Source organism: Homo sapiens, chromosome 6 (assembly GCF_000001405.40).
Source record: "Homo sapiens chromosome 6, GRCh38.p14 Primary Assembly".
Classification (NCBI taxonomy): domain Eukaryota; kingdom Metazoa; phylum Chordata; class Mammalia; order Primates; family Hominidae; genus Homo; species Homo sapiens.
This window is the reverse complement of record NC_000006.12, coordinates 158,066,672-158,088,255: the sequence shown is the minus strand read 5'-3', so window position 1 is coordinate 158,088,255 and position 21,584 is coordinate 158,066,672. Positions and strand designations below refer to the sequence as shown.

At 49.5% G+C, this 21,584-nt stretch overlaps 1 protein-coding gene across 14 annotated transcripts in view, besides 4 other annotated features; it reads right to left on the bottom strand.

Moving 5' to 3' along the window:
* The window catches only part of SYNJ2 (synaptojanin 2), a 117,881-nt gene that overhangs the window by 10,921 nt on the left and 85,376 nt on the right, over positions 1-21,584 (bottom strand). For 10 of the 14 annotated variants that reach the window (XM_047419472.1, NM_001410947.1, NM_003898.4 and 7 more), the window contains 11 exons: positions 19,528-19,609; positions 18,583-18,723; positions 16,462-16,654; positions 13,518-13,676; positions 11,474-11,630; positions 9,975-10,092; positions 6,929-7,147; positions 6,746-6,824; positions 4,659-4,827; positions 4,082-4,255; positions 1,267-1,401 (listed from right to left, as the gene is read on the bottom strand). In XM_047419472.1, coding sequence (XP_047275428.1) covers positions 1,267-1,401; positions 4,082-4,255; positions 4,659-4,827; positions 6,746-6,824; positions 6,929-7,147; positions 9,975-10,092; positions 11,474-11,630; positions 13,518-13,676; positions 16,462-16,654; positions 18,583-18,723; positions 19,528-19,609 — 1,626 coding nt within the window. Of the gene's footprint in view, positions 1-1,266; positions 1,402-4,081; positions 4,256-4,658; positions 4,828-6,745; positions 6,825-6,928; positions 7,148-9,974; positions 10,093-11,473; positions 11,631-13,517; positions 13,677-16,461; positions 16,655-18,582; positions 18,724-19,527; positions 19,610-20,289; positions 21,542-21,584 lie in introns of those variants that run through there. The other 4 variants (XM_011536224.2, XM_047419475.1, XM_005267200.2 and 1 more) reach the window with 3 other exon arrangements.
* Positions 1,644-1,793: a silencer, noted in NCBI's record as "silent region_17732". NCBI's record gives its function as "represses an Ori minimal core promoter by ATAC-STARR-seq in GM12878 lymphoblastoid cells {active_cell/tissue: GM12878}" and the evidence as "EXISTENCE:reporter gene assay evidence [ECO:0000049][PMID:35858748]".
* Positions 15,966-16,527: an enhancer, noted in NCBI's record as "H3K4me1 hESC enhancer chr6:158492761-158493322 (GRCh37/hg19 assembly coordinates)". NCBI's record gives its function as "activates a minimal SCP1, AML or CMV promoter by ChIP-STARR-seq in primed H9 embryonic stem cells {active_cell/tissue: H9 hESC(primed)}" and the evidence as "EXISTENCE:reporter gene assay evidence [ECO:0000049][PMID:30033119]".
* Positions 16,528-17,091: an enhancer, noted in NCBI's record as "H3K4me1 hESC enhancer chr6:158492197-158492760 (GRCh37/hg19 assembly coordinates)". NCBI's record gives its function as "activates a minimal SCP1, AML or CMV promoter by ChIP-STARR-seq in primed H9 embryonic stem cells {active_cell/tissue: H9 hESC(primed)}" and the evidence as "EXISTENCE:reporter gene assay evidence [ECO:0000049][PMID:30033119]".
* Positions 18,075-19,274: an enhancer, noted in NCBI's record as "BRD4-independent group 4 enhancer chr6:158490014-158491213 (GRCh37/hg19 assembly coordinates)". NCBI's record gives its function as "activates an origin of replication core promoter dependent on BRD2, P300/CBP, MED14 and CDK7 cofactors, and independent of BRD4, by STARR-seq in HCT116 cells {active_cell/tissue: HCT116}" and the evidence as "EXISTENCE:reporter gene assay evidence [ECO:0000049][PMID:35650434]".

The following is a 21,584-nucleotide window of genomic DNA, read 5'->3' as shown; positions in this document are numbered from 1 at the left end:
TACAAAATAAATAAATAAATGAATAAAAATAGCCAAGCCTGATGGTATGCGCCTGCAGTCCTAGCTACTTGGCAGGCTGAGGTAGGAGGATTGCTTGAGCCGGGGAGGTCAAGGCTTCAGTGAGCTGTGAGATCGCACCACTGCACTCCAGCCCGGGGGACAGAATGAGCCCATCTCAAAAAAAAAAAAAAAAAAAAAAAAAAAAAAAAAAAAAAAAAAAATTCCAAAGCAGGGGAATAAACTGTTAAAATATACTTGCAGCCATTAACAAATCATGTTTTAGAACATTCAATGACACAGAAAATATAACCCATTAAATAAAAGACAACCGACCAGAGAAAATGGGTATTAATTTTGTTAAAAAAAAAAAAAAAAAAAAAGAAGTATGTTGCTGCAGATACATGAAACTGGAAAAAGAAGACTTTTTTCAACAACTACGACCCGTAGGTCATCAAGTGAATTTTAAAATTTTGTTCTTCTTTGTAGTTATCTCTAAAATTTCCACAATAATACATGACTTATGCATTTTATTTTTGGGTTATTTTTATATCTGGGCTTGTGGCTTGCCATTGGTTACTACCGTGACGTCAGCCACAATGAGCCCAATTCTGAAGTAATGGCTTAGGAAGATCTAAGTCTGATCATCACATTTTTGGGGAGGGAGAAGTAAACAGTGGTGGGAAAATGCAAGTGGATCAAAAGCACATCACAGCTTTGCTTTCAGGTTATCAGGGAGGGCTGGACGGGCAAAGCATTGTTCGAACAACCAGAAGAAAATGCTCCTAGACCCAGGATAAGGGGGAACTTGTTCTGAGCCCGGGGAACAGGAGGCCTCGGAGCGCAGAGGGGTGACCAGGTCACCTCCAGGCGGGGACCTGGGTTTACCAGATTCCTCATAAGTAGAGGGAGGACTGCGCAGCAGCTGAGGAGAGACTTCTGACTGCGAAGCTCACGTCCCTCCCATGGCTGCGGCCCCCATTCTGCATCCTCTAATGCTGCCAAGGGAGAGCAGTTTGAAGCAATAGCACAGCTCCAGGGTGAACAGCAGCTTTGGAAAGGAGCTGTTTCATTTGCCATGAGAAACACAACCAGCCCTGACGTCAAACGTGTCCTGGATTTACAACAAAACGGAGCCCAAGGAGGAGGAAGCCCTGTGGGGACCGGAAGGCCGGGGAGAAGTGGATTCGGAGCCGTGTTTTCAGTAGCAGGGAACGCGCGGTTATTCCTGGCAGGCATCCAGGGAGCTGAAAGCAAGCAGAGTCTTACTTGGAGGGGGGGGTCTCTGCGGGGGTTGAGGTGGCCGAGGCCGGTTGGGGACCGACAGAGACCTGCTCGGAGAACGGTGGCGGAACTCCCCGACGGCTTCCAGCTCCCGCTTGAGCTCCACCAGGTCCGCGTCATCTGGAGGACATGGCGGGGCATGAGTACAATGGTCTGTTCCACACGTGAGCGTGTCAGACACGGATCTGAGCACAGGAGGCCGACTGTGGCAGGGGGACCTGCTGTAGGACAGCTGAAGGCTCTGTCCAGAAACGGGCACCTCTGTCTGCCGGCGAGGGGCGGGGGCGGGGAGGGCACCCAGTGCCTGCTTGGAACATTCAGTGAACCATGGATAATGGGTATTTCTCAGACTTGAGAGACACTGAGCTATTTCAAAGTGTGTTTTCTTGTGAAATAACAAGACTTGGGCAGAGTGGAGGAGACAGTTGCAAACCACAACCCCTGAAGAGTCAACCAACCACAGGCAGATGTTTTCAATTCCTCACTCTAGAACACACCGGCTGAGGAAGCTGAGGGTGTTCTCCCTGCTCTGGCAGCAGAGCAGCCTGGCATGCAGTGGCCAGTGCCTAGGACCAGGGGTCCTGCTTACTCATCAAATCCCAAACCCTGTGGGCCCATGGCTGGCCACTCCCAAGGGTCTGCCATCTTGACCTGCCCTGCACACACCTTCCAAGAGGCTGAGGGGTTTTCAGGAGGCACAGCTCCTGCTTCCTTACAGATCAAATCAGCAGCCCTAGGGCTCCCCCAAAGCATGGGCCTCTCCATTTCACTTTGACTCGGACACCCCACTCCCTGTATCCAGCAGCTCCACCCCATGTGTCCTGGAGACTGGAACTGGGGAAAGGCAGGATTTCTCCTACAAATGGGAATGGCTGAACACCCCACAGCATCAAGGGAAGACCCTCTCAATGCCCACCAGGTAGCAAAGCCACCCACGTGTCCCGTGTTGCGCTATTAGTTTCTTCATGCAAAGGACTATCTGTGCTCACACCTGCACTGGCTCCAGAGGCTGCCTGCATGACGGCCACCCCCGAGAGAAAGGTCCTTCTTATGGGAAGAGCACATCCCTCCAGCCACTTCAACTCCCGGGCAGAAGCCCCTGGCAGGAGCAACGTGCAGAACCACCGCGATGCTCCGGCGAAGGCTGCTGCTTCAGTCTTGGGCAGAAGTCCCCAAACCTAGCTGTGCGTCCAAACCACCTGGAAAGCTTGGTGAAACGCCAGGCTTCCAGGGTCCCACCCCACTCCTACCAAATCCAGATCTCTCTGGTAGGGCTCAAAAATCCATAAGTTTAAAAGCTCCTGATGGTTCGGTATAGGCAAGTTATTGGTCAGTGTGGGGACCAGCGTACGGTCAAAGGGGCTGGAGGTCTTCGCACCTCTCCTGGCAAAGTACCCTCCCTGAGAGGTACCTTAATCCACTTTCAGCCCTGTTCTCTGCTCTCAGCCCCAGCTCAATGGGCCCAATGCGTGGCTAAGCTCCTGCACCTGCTGGTTAGAGCTGTCCTCCAACTCGGGGCTCAGTGATTGACAGCTAGAGGCATGCCTGGCTATGAATGGAACAGCATCAATGTAGCTGACACTGAAATATGAACTACCCGACCTGCCAGCCACGTAACATTAGTGGGCTTTAAAAGTTACTCAGAACAGTTACTGGCCAGGTGCAGTGGCTCACACCTGTAATTCCAGCACTTTGGAAGGCCCAGGTAGGAGGGTCACTTGAGCCCAGGAGTTTGAGACCAGCTTGGACAACATAGTGAGACCCCGTCTCTACAAAAAATGCAAAAAATTATCTGGGCATGCTGGTGCAACCCTGTAGTCCCAGCTACTTGGGAGGCTGAGGTGGGAGGATCGCTTGAGCCTGGGAGGTGGAGGTTGTAGTGAGCTGAGATTGTATCACTGCACTCCAGCCTGGGAGACAGTGAGACCCTGTCTCAAAAAAAAAAAAAAAGTTGTATTATTTAATCTAGGGGTGTGTGGTTCAATCAATGTGACCTTTCAGGCCCTCTGAAGTCTAAAATGATACAATGATGTGACCGTATGACATGACTGTATAATAATATGATATTATATGAGTGTGACCATACGCCAGCAACTCAGGACATAGATATGGATTATGTCTCTACTGGGATTGAATCAGAAGTTTTTTTGTTGTTGTTGTTTTGAGACGGAATCTCACTTTGTCACCCAAGCTGGAGTGCAGTGGGGCGATCTCGGCTCATTGCAGCCTCTGCCTCCCCAGCTCAAGCGATTCTCCTGCTTCAGCTGCCTGAGTAGCTGGGATTACAGGCATGTGCACCACCATGCCCTGCTAATTTTTAAAAAATATTTTTAGTAGAGACAGGGTTTCACCATGTTGGCCAGGCTGGTCTTGAACTCCTGACCTCAAGCGATCCACCTGTCTCGGCCTCCCAAAGTGCTGGGATTACAGGTGTGAGCCACTGCGCCTGGCTGAATCAGAAGAGTTTTGTTGGGGGCGGGAAATAATCACAAATATAAAACCAGTTCAGAACCGTGGCCATTTGAATATCCAGAGGAAACAAGAATTATCTTGAATCTGGTGTGTTATGGGGGTACAAGTTATTGTAAAAAAATAAACTAACTAGAGGAAATCAGGGTGTTGGAGCTGGCTACCTCCACAGGGCTCAGTCCCTACCCCTCGCTTGGCCTGCCTGGTTGAGGTCTCTCCTGGGACCTGCATACTTGATATCACACAGTGCCCAATCGCCAAGAGAAAAAGGAAAGTCTGTCCTGAGCTGACTCCATCGCTGAGGCTCCTGAGAAAAGAAGGGTCAGGCTACCTTTGTACGTTGGATGCTGCTTCTTTTTGGTGAGAGCAGGTGACTTGCTGGGAGGAGCCAGTGCTGTGGGGCCGGGGACATCAGAGAGGTCGTCTCCCCCGAGTTCACTGTCCGAGACTCCAGGCTGATTGAATTCATCCACCAAGTAGTCTTCATCGTCTTCAAGAATATCCCCTGGGAGAAGGAAATGAATCACAATTCGGGTGAAAACAATGAGGGGGAAAGGCTCAGTCTTCCATCAGTGGGACTGGTTCAGCTCCTGTCAGGACACGTGCACCCTGCCCTGCAGCTCAGGGCCCAGGCGCCAGCAGGGACGGTACCCCAGTTCCATTGGTACACCCACAGCCCTGATATCCTCATAGCCACTGTTTGTAGCCTAAGTTTAGATGCCTCGGGTCCCAGGTAGCATGGCATGCATCGTCCACACATACAAACATGCTCATCACATGGGACAGAGGGCTTGCCCTGCGGGTGTCCTCCGTCACTTCTGCAAGGGAGGCTTTAGAAGGTGTCCTTAAAAGCTCAGGCCTGTTGCTAGAAGAACGGCTTGCCTGTCCCTCCCTGCAGGGTCACTAACCTTCTGACTCATAGTCCAAACTTGTGAAGTCAAAGTTTTCCTCCAGCAAACAGGAGTTGGCAGTGGGAGACACGGGGGCCATGCTGTCTCGTTTCCGAATGATCTCCTCTCGCAAACCTTTCAGCCAGTCCTTGGTCTTCGGTCTAATCTTCACTGCTCTGCCTTTCACCTGGGAGGGCAGAGCGGCCACCCAGGAATAAATAAAAATCATGACCCCTCCTGTTGATCACACAATGCTTCTCACCAAAACCCACACACCCTCAACGAGGCCAATCTTCACATTTGGCCCTGAAAAACCAAGGGTCCAGACCTCACGCAGGCTCAGCATAGCTCTCATACATCTGGTTGAAAAAAAAGTTGAACTGGGCTGGGTGCGGTGGCTCACACCTGTAATCCCAGCACTCTGAGAGGCCGAAGCAGGTAGATCCCTTGAGGTCAGGAGTTTGAGACCAGCCTGACCAACACGGTGAAACCCGATCTGTACTAAAAATACAAAAATTAGCTGGGCGTGGTGGTGAGTGCCTGTAGTCCCAGCTACTCGGGAGGCTGAGGCAGGAGAATCGCTTGAACCCGGGAGGCGGAAGCTGCGGTGAGCCGAGATTGCACCACTGCACTCTAGCCTGGGTGACAGAGCAAGACTCCATCTCAAAAAAAAAAAGTTGAACTCTCATCTCCAGCTTCCCATTTGGTACAGATTTAAAGCCAAGATACTATAAAAACGGAAACTATCTATGAGCTGCATATTCCAAAATACATACTCTAAAGAGAAAGACTGGAATAGTCTCCCACATGGCAGTGCGAGCATAGACAGATCAAGTAACTCGGCGAGAACTACACTCTAAAATGGCTAAGCTTCTGCAGCTGCTGGTAGAGCTGCCTTCCAACGTGAGACACAGTGACTGACATTCTTCTTCCCCATTCTGTTTGTTTGGTTTTTTGAGACAGGGTCTCGCTGTCACCCAGGCTGGAGTGCAGTGGCACGATCTCAGCTCACTGTAACCTCTGCCTCCCAGGTTCAAGCGATTCTCCTGCCTCAGCCTCCTGAGTAGCTGGGACTAGAGGCACGCGCCACCATGTCTGGCTACTTTTTTTTTTTTTTTTTTTTTTTTTGGAGACAGAGTCTCACACTGTTGCCTGGGCTGGAGTGCAATGGTGCGATCTCGGCTCACTGCAACCTCTGCCTCCTGGGTTCAAGTGATTCTCCTGCCTCAGCCTCCCAAGTAGCTGGGATTACAGGCACCTGCCACTATGCCTGGCTAATTTTTGTATTTTTAGTGGAGACGGGGTTTCACTATGTTGGCCAGGCTGGTCTCGAAATCCTGACCTCATGATTTGCCCGCCTCAGCCTCCCAAAGTGCTGAGATTACAGGCGTAAGCCACCACACCCAGCGCCTGGCTAATTTTTGTATTTTTACTAGAGACAGGATTTCGCCATGTTGGCCAGGCTGGTCTCGATCTCCTGACCTTGGGTGATCTACCCACCTTGGCCTGACAAAGTGCTGGGATTACAAGCATAAGCCACTGCGCCCACCCTTCCGCCCTATTTTGCAAGTAGCTAGAGCCGGACATGAGACACCTTAGAACCAGAGTGAAGAATCCAAACTCCCTCCCGCATATGGCGTCTATACATAAAGACAGATTGGTGGCCAGGCATGAAAGCTCATGCCTGTAATCTCAACACATTGGGAGATCGAGGCGGGAGGATGACTGGAGCCCAGGAGGCTGAGGTTATAGTGAGCCATAACTGTCCCAATGCACTCCAGCCGGGGCTACAGAGTGAGATCCTCTCTCTACAAAATTTAAAAAAAATTAGCTGGGTGTGGTGGCACGTGCCTGCGGTCCCAGCTACTTGAGAGGCTGAGATGGGAGGATTGCTTAAGCCTGGCAGTTCAAGGCTGCAGCGAGCTGTGATTGCATCACTGTACTCCAGCCTGAATGACAGAGCAAGACTTTGTCTCAGAGAAAAAAAAAAAAAAAAAAAAAAAAAAAAAAGGCACAGGTCAGGGCAAGAGGAGGAAGAAGACATGCCCACATAAAAAGAGGGATTGATCAGACCCCACTCCACAGTGTGGCCAAGTACAGCGTACCTTCATACCGTCCACGTCCAGGACACTGAGAGCCGAGTGACTGTCTGCAAAAGTTACCAGCATCTGCCCTTGGTTGATCCTGGAATAAATGATACTCCAAGTCAATGCCAAGAACGACCTGGCAGCTCTCACGGATCCTCATCGACATCCCCTGGAACCCACATCAGCCAGGGGAGCAGTTACCTGACAAGAACAATTGTCCCATAACTCCCCAAGGTCTGCATGAGCTCAGTACGCAGGTCCTCTGGAAACTCGTTTTTCTCTTCTAAGGTCGGTGATTGAAGGTTTACTACAACAGTGGCATCCAGGGGGCCCTGGAAGGAGGACACTTCCTGGAAAACCCTCTCCCGAGCACCCACATCGACTTCCTGAACTTCCACCTCCACGATCGCCAGCACAGGTCTGCGTTAGGAACAAAAGAGGGATGACAGTTAGCCTGGGACAGATGTCCACACCCCCGGCCTCCAGTCCCCAGTTAGCCTGGGACAGATGTCCACATCTCCAGCCCCCAGTCCCCAGCTGCTGTCCCCCAGGGCTCTTTGTAAACAGTCAACACCAACAACCTGCGAATGTGGCCACCAGCAGGTGGATTTGCAGGCTAGCTGCCCTGCTCTGGCGTTTTAGTCTTCATCTTTCCTTAACCTTAGTATCACCTTGGCATTTTTATCTAAAGATGATTTGAGGGGGAAAATAAAGTGTGGCACCTTAAAGATGTATCCCAGTACTTGGAAAATAACCAGCCATCAGCAAAGATTTTTGACATGGTAATCCTCAGTACCACCAAGGAGGTGGGGAAGCAGACATCTGCACTCTGCCAGGGGTGCAAGCTTTTCAGAGGGTTACTTGGCACTTTACATAGAGTTCCAAAATTGTTCATCTCTTTTCACCTAGTAATCTCACTTCTCGGACTTTATTCTAAGGAAATGACCAGGGATTCAGACAAAGATTTAATGCATGAGGTTGATCATTTACAGCATTGTTGATGGGAGGGAAAAAAAAAAAGGGAAATGCTCGTTTTTTTTTTTTTTTTTATTTTGAGTCAGAGTCTCCCTCTGTTGTCCAGGCTGGAGTGCAGTGGCGCGATCTCAGCCCACTGCAACCTCCGCCTCCCGGGCTCAAGTGATTCTCCTGCCTCAGCTTCCCAAGTAGCTGGGATTACAGGCGCATGCCACCATGACCAGCTAATTTTTGTATTTTTGGTAGAGATGGGGTTTTGCTGTGTTGGCTAGGCTGGTCTTGAACTCCTGACTTTAGGTGATCCGCCTGCCTCAGCCTCCCAAAGTGCTGGGATAAAGGCGTGAGCCACTGCGCCAGGCCAAAATGCTCTGTTTCTTAATGGGGAAACAGTTATGATACCTTCATATAATACCCTACGCAATCATTAGGAATAATGTAAAAATCAATGATGTAAACAGGAAAACAGTCCAGCAGGAAATAATGCAATCCTTATAGTAATTCTGACACAGGGATGGTTATTACTCTATAAATTTCCAGAAAATCCTATATTACGAAAATTACACAGCCTGATTGAAAATAGCTCGACTCTGGCCTGACTCCTGCCACTACTTTTTTTCTTTCATAGCACACATGTTTGTTTATTGTCTGTTTGTCCTGTCCAGAAAATTCCATGATAACATGGTCTCATCTGTTTTGTTCACTGCTTTTCTCCAGGCCAGCAACAGGGCCTGGCATGTAAGGGCCCCTCAAGAAATATTGGTTAAATTAAGGTTTCAAAATACATTGAGCTAGCAAACCTTGATGTCACATATCTGAAGATTCCTCAAGATTCACTTCTAGGTATGTATTTGCAACAACAGGTATCTAAAGAATTTAGAATTATCTAAAGAGTCTGGGCATGGTGGCTGTAATCCCAGTACTTTGGGAGGCTGAGGCGGGCACATCACTGGAGGCCAGGAGTTGGAGACCAGCCTGGCTAACATGGCAAAACCGTTTCTACTAAAAATACAAAAATCAGCCGGGCATGGTGATGCACGCCTGTAATCCCAGCTACTTGGGAGGCTGAGACATGAAAATCACTTATACCCTGGGGGTGGAGGTTGCAATGAGCCAAGATTGTGCCACTGCACTCCAGCCTGGAGGACTCTGTCTCAAAAAAAAAAAAAAAAGGTTTTTTCGTTGACCAACTGTTCTTACCTTCTTTTTCTTAATTTCTTTCCTTGTAAAAGTTGAAACTGACATGAGAGTTTAGGCAGCAGCCTTGGGAAGATCAAACTCTTCCTTCTTCACACCCTCAAATGCCATCCTCTCCTCTGTCTTTAAAGACATTCTGCAGGGTGAGTCTTCCTCTGCAGCAATCCCAGGGCACAGGTGCTGGTGCCCACGGTGCTCCCTCTGCTGCCTCCACTCTATCCTCAATGCATGATGCACAGAGCATTTAAAAAGCCCTGCATCCTAGGGCCAGGTGCGGTGGCTCACGCCTGTAATCCCAACACTTTGAGAGGCCAAGGTGGGTGGATCACCTGAGGTCAGGAGTTTGGGACCAGCCTGGCCAACATGGTGAAACCCCGTCTCTACTAAAAACACAAAAATTAGCCAGGCATGGTGGTGTGCACCTGTAATCCCAGCTACTTGGGAGGCTGAGGCAGGAGAATTGCTTGAATCTGGGAAGCGGAGGTTGCAGTGAGCTGAGATCACACCACTGTACTCCATCCAGCCTGGGCAATAGAGCAAGACTCTCTCTCAAAAAAAAAAAAAAAAAAAAGGTTGTGCATCCCAGATTTAAAAACCCTATGGTGTTTGTAATCATAAAATCCTGGAGAAAATATTCATCAAGAGGTGAATGGATAAGTTGTAAGTTCCATGGATATATTTAGTGGGATACTAGACAGCAGTTACAAATGAATGCACCAGAGCTATAACATCAACACGACTGTATCTCAAAAATAGTAACAAAAAAGCAAGTTGCACAACGACATCATTTAAGAAAATATAAAAGCCGCAAAATACGTAGGTTGCATCTTTGAAATTTTCATCAATGATGTCATTTATGATATGGAGCAATGACAAAATGCTAAGATTAATTAGTTCTTGGTGGTGGGTCCACAGATATTTGTTCCATCATTCTTTGTTCTTTGGTGTATTGTATGCACACAAAATGCACCCCCATGCGCACACACATCCTTATGGGGACAGCATGCATTTTCCTGCGGAGAGGGAGACGCTGCCTTGCCCAGCACAGGAGAAAACGCCATGGAAGTCAGGACCTCACCTGTGATCAGACGCTTGTAGCTCCGCACGACCATAATACTGCAGGGCACCAGGAGACCAGGTGTGTCTGACTTTGGTGTCAACATCTAGATCACTGTCTAGAAGGTTGAGTTCTCCAGCTACTCGCAGGGGTTCCATTCGAGAGACCCATATAGAATCGAGTCAATATCCAAGAATGCGATCATGACACTTCCACAATAGAGGTCTGCGCCACGAACCACCCCACGTCCCAGACTCATCCTCCTTACTCCTCCACCTTGAAGCCAGGCTTCGGATGCTTTGGGGCCTTTGGTTAAAAACATTCCTCGCATATAATTATTCAAAACAGTCATGACCATGCCTGCAGTCCTCGCCAGCATGCCCACTGTAGGCTTGAGACACAGTGTTGCTGCCGGGTTTCCAGGACCCAGGAATCCCAGAAGGTTGGCAGCAATTGGTATGGTAAGAGCTGCAGGAGCTGAGAACACTCGGACTCATTCTAGGCCCCACCTCTCAGAGCGCTGGGGCCACACAGGCGTTCACAAACTCATCTAGAGGAAAATTTGTATTTTCTTTTCACAGATGCAATTTCCTGGCTATGCTCTCCCAAAATGTGTAATTAGGTTTTTTTTTTTTTTTTTTTTTTTTTTTTTATGTACTAGTTACAGATATTCTAACTTTAAATAAACTTCACTTCCTAGCTGGGCATCAACAGTTGTTCAAAACATACTTGACAACTAATGATTTTTAAAAACTAACTTATTTTTACTGTGTCTTGCTCGTGTCCAATTTGGAATTAGGGCTTTAAGCAGGTAAAAGTGTAGCTGAACAAAATAGGCTGGATAAAGAACATGAGGGGGAGCATGGGGGGCAGGGAGGGAGGCAACCTCATGCTCCCCGCTTTCCCCACCCAGAAAAAAGAGGTGGGGGTGTGGGGGGGAGCTGTGATGCAGGGGCAGCCAGGAGCAGACCTATTTGCAGGTCACTGTCTCTAGAAAGAGACCAGAGGAGGCCAGGCGCAGTGGCTTATGCCTGTAATCCCAGCACTTTGGGAGGCCGAGGTGGGCAGATCACCTGAGGTTGGGAGTTCAAGACCAGCCTGACCAACATGGAGAAACCCCGTCTCTACTAAAAATACAAAATTAGCTGGGCATGGTGGTGCATGCCTGTAATCCCAGCACTCAGGAGGCTGAGGCAGGAGAATGGCTTGAACCCAGGAGGTGGAGGTTGTGGTGAGCCAAGATCACGCCATTGCACTCCAGCCTAGGCAACAAGAGTGAAACTCTGTCTCAAAAAAAAAAAAGAAAAGAAAAGGGAAAAAAAGAGGCCAGAAGCAGAGGCTCCCTGAAAGCACAACTTCCAAAGCTTAGGGGTTAAGGTCTGGGATGACTTTTGTGTCATCTGGGGTTATGAAGAAACTGATTTATGTAGCAGCGCCTGGGGTTGGGTAAACGTGACTCTCCCTCCGTCGCATTTCTTATTCACCCTCTGCCGACTCTCGAACGGGCACGGCCCCCTCACCTGTTTTATCAAAGGGATGTTTCTTCCTCCACCACAGCACCCTGTCTGTCCAGGCGGGGGTGCGGCATTTGTCGCTTGTATCGTAGGCGGCTGAGCCAACGTCATACTTGTAGGTGGGTCCAAAGTTAATGGCTCCTTCGTGAAAGTCCTTAAAAATCTATTGGGAGAAAAAGAAGTCATCAGGCCACCGTAGTTTTCGATCCTGAATGTTATATACAAAAACGAAAACTGAAAAGGCAAGTCCCTATTCTTAAAAAGTAACAGAAGCTCCATTACATTTGAAAATCTATCTGAAACTGGACATATGTGTCTTTTAATTAGCAAAAAAGTGATCCTCAGCTCATCCCACTGAGGGACACACCGCCCTCGTATCTATCTCCCCACCCACTCCAGTGTCTGATCTATCCACTGTCTTCTTGTTGCCCCCCAGGAGACAGTGCAGGGTCCGAGGCACGGGTCAGGGGTGCTCATCTTTACAGTCCCATGCCTGGTGCCATGTCTGGCCCACAACCCCGAGGCCTTCATCTATGTTTGTTGACTAAATGAGCTAAGTACATAGAAGCGCAGAGTGAAAGTCAGCTCTCCTCTCTCTCTCCCCCTGGGGTCTCGCTCTTTTGCTCAGGCTGGAATACAGTGGTGCAATCACGGCTCCCTACAGCTTCAACCTCTGGGGCTCATGTGATCCTCCTGCCTCAGCCTCCCAAGTAGCTGGGACTACAGGCACGCACCATCATGCCTGGCTAATTTTAGTTTTTGTAGAGACAAAGTCTCCCTATGTTTCCCAGGCTGGTCTCAAACTCCTGGGCTTAGGCAATCCTCCCGCCTTACAGTCGTGAGCCCCCATGCACATCCTTCTTTTCTTTGTTTAACTTTGGATTGGCCTTGCTTCCATGGGAAGACCAAGGGACAAACACACCCTCATTCTCTTGGGCATCACTGAGAGGATGTGAGAATGTTGGTAGTAGGAAGACAGGAAAACCTGCTTTAGGAGGTTGGTATGGTCACTCGTCCATGTGGCAACCCTTTAGCACTCCACACACTGGAAGGGGCTCAAGTGGGAAGACACAGTAAACCTCGAAGAACGTCCAAATCTTGCTTCAGGAGAGACCTTATCTGCCCTGTCCTCACACTTTTTTTTTTTTTGAGACGGAGTTTTGCTCGTTGCCCAAGCTGGAGTGCAGTGGTGCGATCTCGGCTCACTGCAACTTCCGCCTCCCAGGTTCAAGCGATTCTCCTGCCTCAGTCTCCTGAGTAGCTGGGATTACAGGCGCCTGCCACCATACCCAGGTAATTTTTGGATTTTTAGTAGAGATGGGGTTTCACCAAGTTGGCCAGGCTGGTCTTGAACTCCTGACCTCAGGTGATCCGCACGCCTCGGCCTCCCAAAGTGTTGGGATTACAGGCAAGAGCCACCGCACCTGGCCCTCACACATTTAACCAGCTTCTTTCTCCACAGCTAAATGGAATTTAAATGTACTCCCCTCATCTCAGCTCATCCTGCTAGGAAGCAAACAGGCACTAAAATAACAGTATTAGAAGGAGGAGAAGGTTGACCGGGCATGGTGGCTCATGCCTGTAATCCCAGCACTTTGGGAGGCTGAGGCGCACAGATCACCTGAGGCCAGGAGTTCGAGACCAGCCTGGCCAACATGGTGAAAACCCGTCTCTACTAAAAATACAAAAATTAGCCAGGTGTGGCGGCACACGCCTGTAATCGCAGCTACTCGGGAGGCTGAGGCACAAGAATTGCTTGAACCCAGGAAGGTGGAGGTTGCAGTGAGCCAAGATAGTGCCACTGCACTCCAACCTGGGTGACTGAACAAGACTCTGCCTCAGGAAAAAAAAAAAAAAAAAAAAAAGGACAGGAAGTGTGTATGAACAGCCACTCCTGTACTGTAACCTCACAAGCCCACCTATTTTCTACAATGTTGGAAACAGTGAAATCCACTCACGGAACTGAATTTGCTGCACCAGCCTCTACATCTCACAGATGTCATTCCATCTTGGAGCAGCTGCTAAAAAATGTTTTTAAAGCACAACTTACTTTTCCACTTGATTTCTGTAGCTGTAGTTGATCAAATTCCAGAAGTTTCTTCCAGTCTTGGCGTTTAACAAAATAGAAGACTTCTTCATAAGTAAGATCAATGCGGTAGTTGAAATCGCCACACCAAAATACATAATCATGAGAAAAAACATTTCTCCCCTAAGTTGAAAAGAAAATCATAATCATTCAGCCCATCTTGCAAGGAAGGTGGGAGAGAGGAGAAAAACAAGCTCACTGGGGCAAGCAGGAGTATTTTTCTCAAAATGCTACTTAGAAAAAAGAAAGTTTTCTACTAGAGCATCTTGTTTTTCACTCATCCCATAAAACTATGGAGGAATTTTTACATGGCTTACTTTTTAATTTTAAATAATAGTGTTTCTGAGTGGTTTGAAGAAAGCTCCTACCCTAAACGGAGGAGAGCAACATGGCCAGCATTTCCTCCATGGATCCCCGTCCTGAAGATCAGATGCACCCTTACTTTGGAGTGTCTACTCCTAGGAAGCAGCACCCAGCATTCAGCGTTAGGAGAATGAGGTTTCAAAAGAGCAGCAGAAATGCTCAGGATGTGCACCTTCATGTAACTTCCTGAGCTTTTTCAGGTGACCCTTCTCCATCTCTCTCTAGCTCCTCCTTCCCATCCTGCCCAGTCCTAGGAGCCCACGGCCCCAGCTCAGCCCCGGAGAGCTCCTGGGGTCCTTGCCTTCCCTGTCTCTTCCCCAGGAATGGGGAAGACAATGACAGCAGCTGCTGTGGATCAACTGTCCGCAAGGGCTGGGCTCTGTTCCAGGTGCACAAAGCAGATACCACCAGCTCTCTCTTAGATTAAAAAAAAAAAAACAAAGTTCAGAAACAAAGGCACTTGCTGAAGGTTACACAGCTAGTGCATGATACAGATGGGATTTCAGCTCCCATCTGCCTAGCTCCAAAATCAGCTTCTCTTCTCCTATAATATGAGGCATTTCCACTCCCCCCATGACAATAATCTGGACAGAAGATTAAACAGGTCCCAACCAAATAAAATGAGCGTCTAGATAACACTGTCAGACAGAACTTTCTGCAGCACCGAAATGTTCTCTGTGCCATCTGATGCAGGAGCCACTGGCCACATGGATACTGATCATTCTCACTGTGGCCAGGGAAAGCAAGGAATTTTAAATGTTATTTAATTTTAATTAATTTGAATTTAAATAGCTACTTATGGCCAGTGACTACGGTATCAGACAATACCAGTGTAGAATGTTGGCCAGGCACCATGGCTCACACCTGTAATCCCAGCACTTTGGGAGGCTGAGGCAGGCGGATCACTTGATGTCAGGAGTTCGAGACCAGCTGGGCCAACATGGCGAAACCCCATCTCTACTAAAAATACAAAAACTAGTTGGGCCTGGTGGTGCACGCCTGTAATCCCAATTACTCAGGAGGCTGAGCCAGGAGAATTGCTTGAACCTGGGAGGTGGAGTTTGCAGTGAGCCAAGATCATGTCACTGCACTCCAGCCTGGGTGGCAGAGTGAGACTGTCTCAAAAAACAAAAACAAAAAAGAAGTGTAGAATGTTAATAGGTCCCTCAATATTTTTATGGTAGAAAAGAACTACATTATAAATCCTTTAATTACTTATTATGTATCCCAAGTTTACTATGTCAAAGTAGCACTTTTTTTTTTTTTTTTTTAGACAGAGTCTCGCTCTGTTGCCGAGGCTGGAGTGTAGTGGTGCGATCTCAGCTCACTGCAACCTCTGCCTCCTGGGTTGCGATTCTCCTGTCTCAGCCTCCTGAGTAGCTGGGATTACAGGTGCACGCCACCACGCCTGGCTAATTTTTTTTGTATTTTCAGTAGAGGTGGGGTTTCACCACGTTGGCCAGGCTGGTCTCGAACTCCTGACCTCAGGTGATCTGCCCGCCTCGGCCTCCCAAAGTGCTGGGATTACAGGTGTGAGCCACTGTGCCTGGCCCCAAAGTAGCTATTTTTAAGTGAGAAGGGTTAGACTTTTTTTTTTTTTTTAAACTGCATTACACACAATTGAAAATTTCCCAACTCGTTTGTTTCTTTTTTAACATAAGAAATAAACAACACCAACAGGAATTATGGCACTTCTTAATGAAAACTAAGGAAATTTTGCCTTGAGTGCTCGTGCAGCCCAGTAAAATGGGACGTCAGTTTTAAGGATCTGTTCTCACAGGGAAGAGCTCTGTGACCCAACCCACCACCTCTCAGACAGTGGAAGATTTTGCAGCAAGAACAGCTGAAGTCTATCCTCACTTCGGGAAAGAGGTGGCCTCGTGTGCACCACACGCTGAAGCTGTGCCCGGGTAGCATCTTTGCACAGGAAGGAGAACATTAACGTCTAGATTTGAAAAGAAAATCCTCCAGTTTCAGAATGAAACCCTCCGGACCGCCACGAGAGGGCAGTGTGCGGTTCGCTATTGCAGCTTCGAGGACAGGCAGGATCTGGGCTCCTTGGTCAAGAACCGTGTTCCCAGTCAAAAAGGGTCCATTGGTCAAAAGGGTGTGCTTATCTGAGCCACCACAGAAAGTACATGTGAAGACTGTGAATCTCAGGAAGGTGGAGTCTTAGGCTGTGTGGATTCAAATGCTCTTCACCACTTGGACAGGACAGACCACGGACATGGTTTTCTTCCCTAAACCATCACTTGAATTAGAAAATCAGAAAATGCACACATACAAATCCAGTGGCCATGCAGACACTCAGGAATTGTACAGCAACGGGAAATGCTGCAAAGCTGGCCCCCTCCAGGCACGTGGCTAACCCTGCCCCAGGTCAATTCCATGGAGGGACATAGCCCTCTCCCCCTCCCCCAGCGCTGAGCCCTCCAGGAAGGGGCCCTCCCTGTGGTTGTGTCCCCAGTGCCTGGCTCCTATCAACAGTCACATTTGGGACTGAGCTGAGCAGGGAGGTGCTGGCTGTCCCCACGGCGCCGCTCACCATTGGGAAGCAGAGTTTCTGGGTGATCTCCTTGTAGTCTTCATTCCGCTCCTTCACCTGGGACTGCCCGGCCGTCAGGTGACTACATATGAAGCAGAAGCTGGTGCTGTGGAACTGGAAGCGGATGCCGACGGCGCCCTTGTTCCCCGCCTTGCCCCCCATGCCCGTCTTCACTGTGTCGATGGCTACGTCCCTGGAACAGAAGGATACGCGCATGCCGTCGGCTCCTGAAGGAGAAGTGTGACCCTGCTTTGCCACAGAGAAGGGCCCAGCAGCAGCTCGGGACCTGCTGCTCTGAGTGCTCCAAAATCATCAGCTCAACACAGTGGCCACCGTGGCCGTCATCGACTCCTGGTCAGGAGGCCGCCTCCCTCCTGCTGCCCACCGCTGCCTGGACATCTCCCCCACACCCCAACTGGGAAGTGCTCACTTGAGCACCCCATGAAGCCGAAGACAGGGCAATGCCTGCATCCGCCCAGGTTCTCACTGCCACCAGGAGCGGCGCAAACATCACCACCCACCAGCCCACCCCACTCCTGTGCAGCCATCACGCCATGCATGGGAGGTGTCATCTGGGCAATCAACACATTTTTAAATTATTATTGTTATTTTGAGACAGAGTCTCGCTCTGTCACCCTGGCTGGAGTGCAGCAGCGTGATCTCAGCTCACTGCAACTGTGGCCTCCCAGGTTCAAGCAATTCTCCTGCCTCAGCCTCCTGAGTAGCTGGGATTACAGGTACCCACCATCACGCCCGGCTAATTTTTGTATTTTTAGTAGAGGCAGGGTTTCACCATGTTGGCCAGGCTGGTCTCAAACTCCTCACCTCAAGTGATCTGCCTGCCTTGGCCTCCCAAAGTGCTGGGATTACAGGCGTGAGACACCGTGCCCAGCAATCAATGCACTTTAAGAGCTAGGAAACGGGCAGCTGTTTATGCTGGGCTGGGTAGATGGTCTCAAAAGGACTTTTATGCAATGCCAGAGCCTGCTTGCATTCAAATGCCCACTTATGACGCATACGAGTCCATAGAAACATGGGCTGCAAGCACATTTGTTAACATTTCCACAGCCATGCCACAGACTGAGGCCTGCTGGTGCATCTGCTCGCTGGCAGACAAGGTTGGGGGGATGACTGATGGAAGGGGTGTAGGCGGAAGCAGCTCAGGGCTAAAGGCACGTGAAGCCGAGGACACCGAGCCTGGGAAACCTGGCTCTCCTCAGCTCTGAGCCCTTTCTCAAATGCTTTACCTCTCACCCTCACCCCGCCCTTGCCTTTAACCTTTACTAACCTTCACCTGCTAACCTAGGACACTGCCAAGCTGCCCAAATAACACAAGCAGAGGGACAGGGACCTAAACATCTTCTGAAAGTCAGAGAAGAGGATTATGGGCAGCATAGTCTTAGTCTCCAGGTGCTGCAGGGGTGTACCCGTGGTGCTCTTGGCAGGCACAGGCCCTTCCCGGGACCCAGGGGCTCAGTGGGGAGGTCAGTTCAACGCCTGCTGCCAGCTCGCCGAAAGGCTGGTGGAAATTCAAAAGCCATGGGTAGGCCCAGGTGGTAAGATGAGGCCAACCACAAGCTGGGGAAAAGATGAGTTCCTCCAGCATCCAAACACCCACACCCACACCCCAAGAGGAATGCCGCCCCTAAGCTCGCCCCCTTTCTGATGCTCACAAAGCATGCACCTTGGAGAAATGACAATGAGGTCACAGTTGTAGAGGCCCACACGTTCTACTTAGAATTCTTTTAAAAAGGGACAAAAGAGTTGGCATTTCCCAGTGAGTTACTCAGCTCTTGGTCAGAGGTTTCCTGTCTATAAGATTCCAACAAGGAACCCTTTTCCTTGCACGGAATTGAGCTTGGGCGATGACAATCATGTAACACCCTTTCTAAGAGTTCAGCTTCCTGAGTTAGACATTTCCCATGGTGGCTTTTTAATCGCTAGACAATATTCTATTCAGCCCAGTTTTTCCTAGGGGGTTTTGCTACATTTATCTAAAATAATGGTAAGTCCCGATTCCTGTTACAGAAGGGGATGGGGGAGGAGGGGGAAGTCAAAGAACAAAACACAAAGACTAACAACCCCTTGTTCCCCAGATGTGTGTAAACAGAATGTTCTTACCTGATGAACGGGACATGGTATGGACGTACAAAGATATAAAGACAGACGCCCACCAGCTGTGCCGAAGTCAACAGAATGTATCTATGAGAGCGTGAGATGGCTTTCTGAAGCTGTTCACCCCACATCTTCTTGTTGGTAGTACTGGAAGAGAAAAGGAAAGGATGCTGTTTACAGGTAGCTGGAAGTACATCTATCTCCCACCTACCAAATGCTCCAGCCCAAGCCTATTCTGTTTGCAGAACTGATTTCACGCTGCCCGCACCCCAATATTAGTGTCATGCTTTCCTTCTTCTACTGGAGGATCTGCGTGTTTTTGGCTATGCCTCACACATCACAGCAGCCCTCCCTTGACCCCTGAAACCCAACCCAGGACCTTCTCATAGCAGCCCCACAGAGTCAGTCTTATTTATTTGTTCAGAAAGTTCCTTAAAATAAAGCCAGGCCAGTTCAGCAGGGGGTGGGGGGAGCGCCCAGTTGACTTCATATCAAATAAAAATCCAGTGGTTTTGATTTTTTCCTTTGCCCTGGTGTGCAGGAAGAAAGTACCTCTTCCCGGCACTCACACTTTCTCACCTCTCCCCAGGAAACATGAGTCAACTACTCTCCCAGTCCCAGCCCCGCCCTTCCCCTGCACCCCAGGTCCACACATGCCAGCTCCCTCTGGCAGCATAAATTAGCCTCAACAAGTGGCCGAGGCCAGAGCACTGCAAAGAAAACACAGCAATCATCAGCCCTTCCTTTTACTTCCTAAGTGGCAGGGAAAGAACGGGGTGGTGCATGTGTGAGCATAGAGAAGGAGCCAGGTGAGAGATCCCCACACAGCCAGGGCCACAGCTTAGCTGGCTCAGAAGCAGGCTGGCTCCCGGAGAGCCTCAGAGGCTCTGCTCCCAGCCAGGCACCTGACTCAGGAAGTCCCTGCCTGGCCCCGCACACCTGGCCCCTTACCTGGCATTGACAATATTCCCTGCGCTCAATTCCACCATCTCTTCAAACCCCACAGCAAATATGTCAGCTGGGCTGCTGTCATCTGGGGAGCAAGGCAAGAGATGACAGAAGTCAGAACCGCCAAGTCCCGCATTACGAGTTCATGGGGCTCCCCAGTGCCCTCTCCCGAGTCATGCTGTCCACTGCCTGAGTCCAACTCCAGGTGGCTACCATTGCTGCTGGGAACTGCCCCAGTGGAATCTGCTTCAGAAATGCCTGGCTTAAATGCAGCAGTGAGCCCAGAGGGGCCCTCCGTCCATTCTGTTCCCTTTGAACAGGGGAGGTCAGAATTTAATATAACCTTGTAGCCATTGACTGAATCTGTCCAGTCACGACCTCTGACACCCAGGCTCCTGAGCCACCAAGCCCAGTCATGGCTCCAGCTGCTGCAGAAAGTGAGAGGCCCACCTCCCCAGGGTCCAGCTAGGAGGACATGGCCTCTGTCAGCGAGAGGCCAGGCAGGCTGTCCACTTCCTTCTCTGTTGACCACAATGGGCAACCTGGAACCTCTAGTTTCCCTGACTTAAAGCTTTTTTTTTTTTTTTTTTTAAATAAAACAATCCCCGTCCCTCTGTCTGATCTGCTTGGCAATAGTAACCACAGCACTCCTTTCCTTCTCTGGAACCTGGTGTATCTCTAGTGGGACTGCTGGGGAGCCTGCTAGTGTCTACCCCAAAAAAATCCCCTGCAAAATACCAGCCAGCTTGCTAAAAACATGCACACCTTCCTGCAGGGAAAAGAAGAGGAGTCACTTTCGTGGGGACTGGAGGGACGGCTCTTGAGCCACGGCTGTGCTAAGCACTCTCCGCGTTGATGGGCCTGCTCCGGAGGGCATCCTGAATGGCTTCTGGAGGCACCACAAGCAGCAACCCAGGCTACCACCGACACAGAGAGCCCCAGTGGCTCTGAATGGTGGACTCTGCCACCTGCCCTTGGAGGCAGAAAGGAGGGCACAGATGGCGTGTGCACAGGAAGGGATGGGGCTCTGGGTACTACCCAGGCAGCTGTGGGGCATGAATGTACACATGGGCCACTGCATGTCAGCTAGACCACAGGTCACTCACCAACAGGCAAAAACCTGAACCACAAGTTCCTGAGTCCAAGGAAGCAAAACAAAAAACAAACAAACAAAAAAACCAAGGCCCGAGTCAACGATGACTGGACAAGAATCATTTATTCTTCAGATCCTAAGTTCTGGGGCCATTCAATAGTGTATCTTACAAGATAAAAGGTGAGGTGTCAACATTTGGAATTATTTTATTCCTAAATAGCACATGAATTATTTTGTGACTACTTAAAGCAGATTAATAGAGTTGGTTTGGGGAGAGGCAGGGATGAGCTGTTCTTGGTCAATATCAACACTGAAGGCAGGGCCAGGCGCGGTGGCGCATGCCTGTAATCCCAGCACTTTGGGAGGCTGTGGCAGAGGGATCCCCTGAGGTCAGGAGTTCGAGACCAGCCTGGCCAACATGGCAAAACCCCATCTCTACTAAAAATACAAAAATTAGCTGGGCGTGGTGGTGGGCGCCTGTAATCCCAGCTACTCGAGAGGCTGAGGCAGGATAACTGCTTGAACCTTGGAGATGGAGGTTGCAGTGAGCCGAGATTGCGTCACTACACTCTAGCCTGGGTGACAAGAGTGAAACTTGTCTCAAAAAAACAAACAACAACAAAACAAAACAAAAAACAAAAACAAAACACCGAAGACAGGCTTGGCTCCCAACCTCACAGTTACATGGCCCTAGAAGCCACACCTTCCGACTGGTGACGAAAAGATTCTACTGATGAAAGCCTAAGACTTCACCATCACTGTATGCAAAGAGAAAAGAGAGATTCACCATCTGCTAACTCTTCTAAACATCTGGGAAAGGAAAAAGGTCAGTTACTTGCGAGGCAGCATTCTTGAGAGTCAGGCCATGGTGCTATTTAGACATTGTGAGGAGGGAAGACACCAAAGATGAAATTCCACAAGACGATGGCCACTAAAGGGTCAAGCGTGACATGTCAGGTTAGGTGCA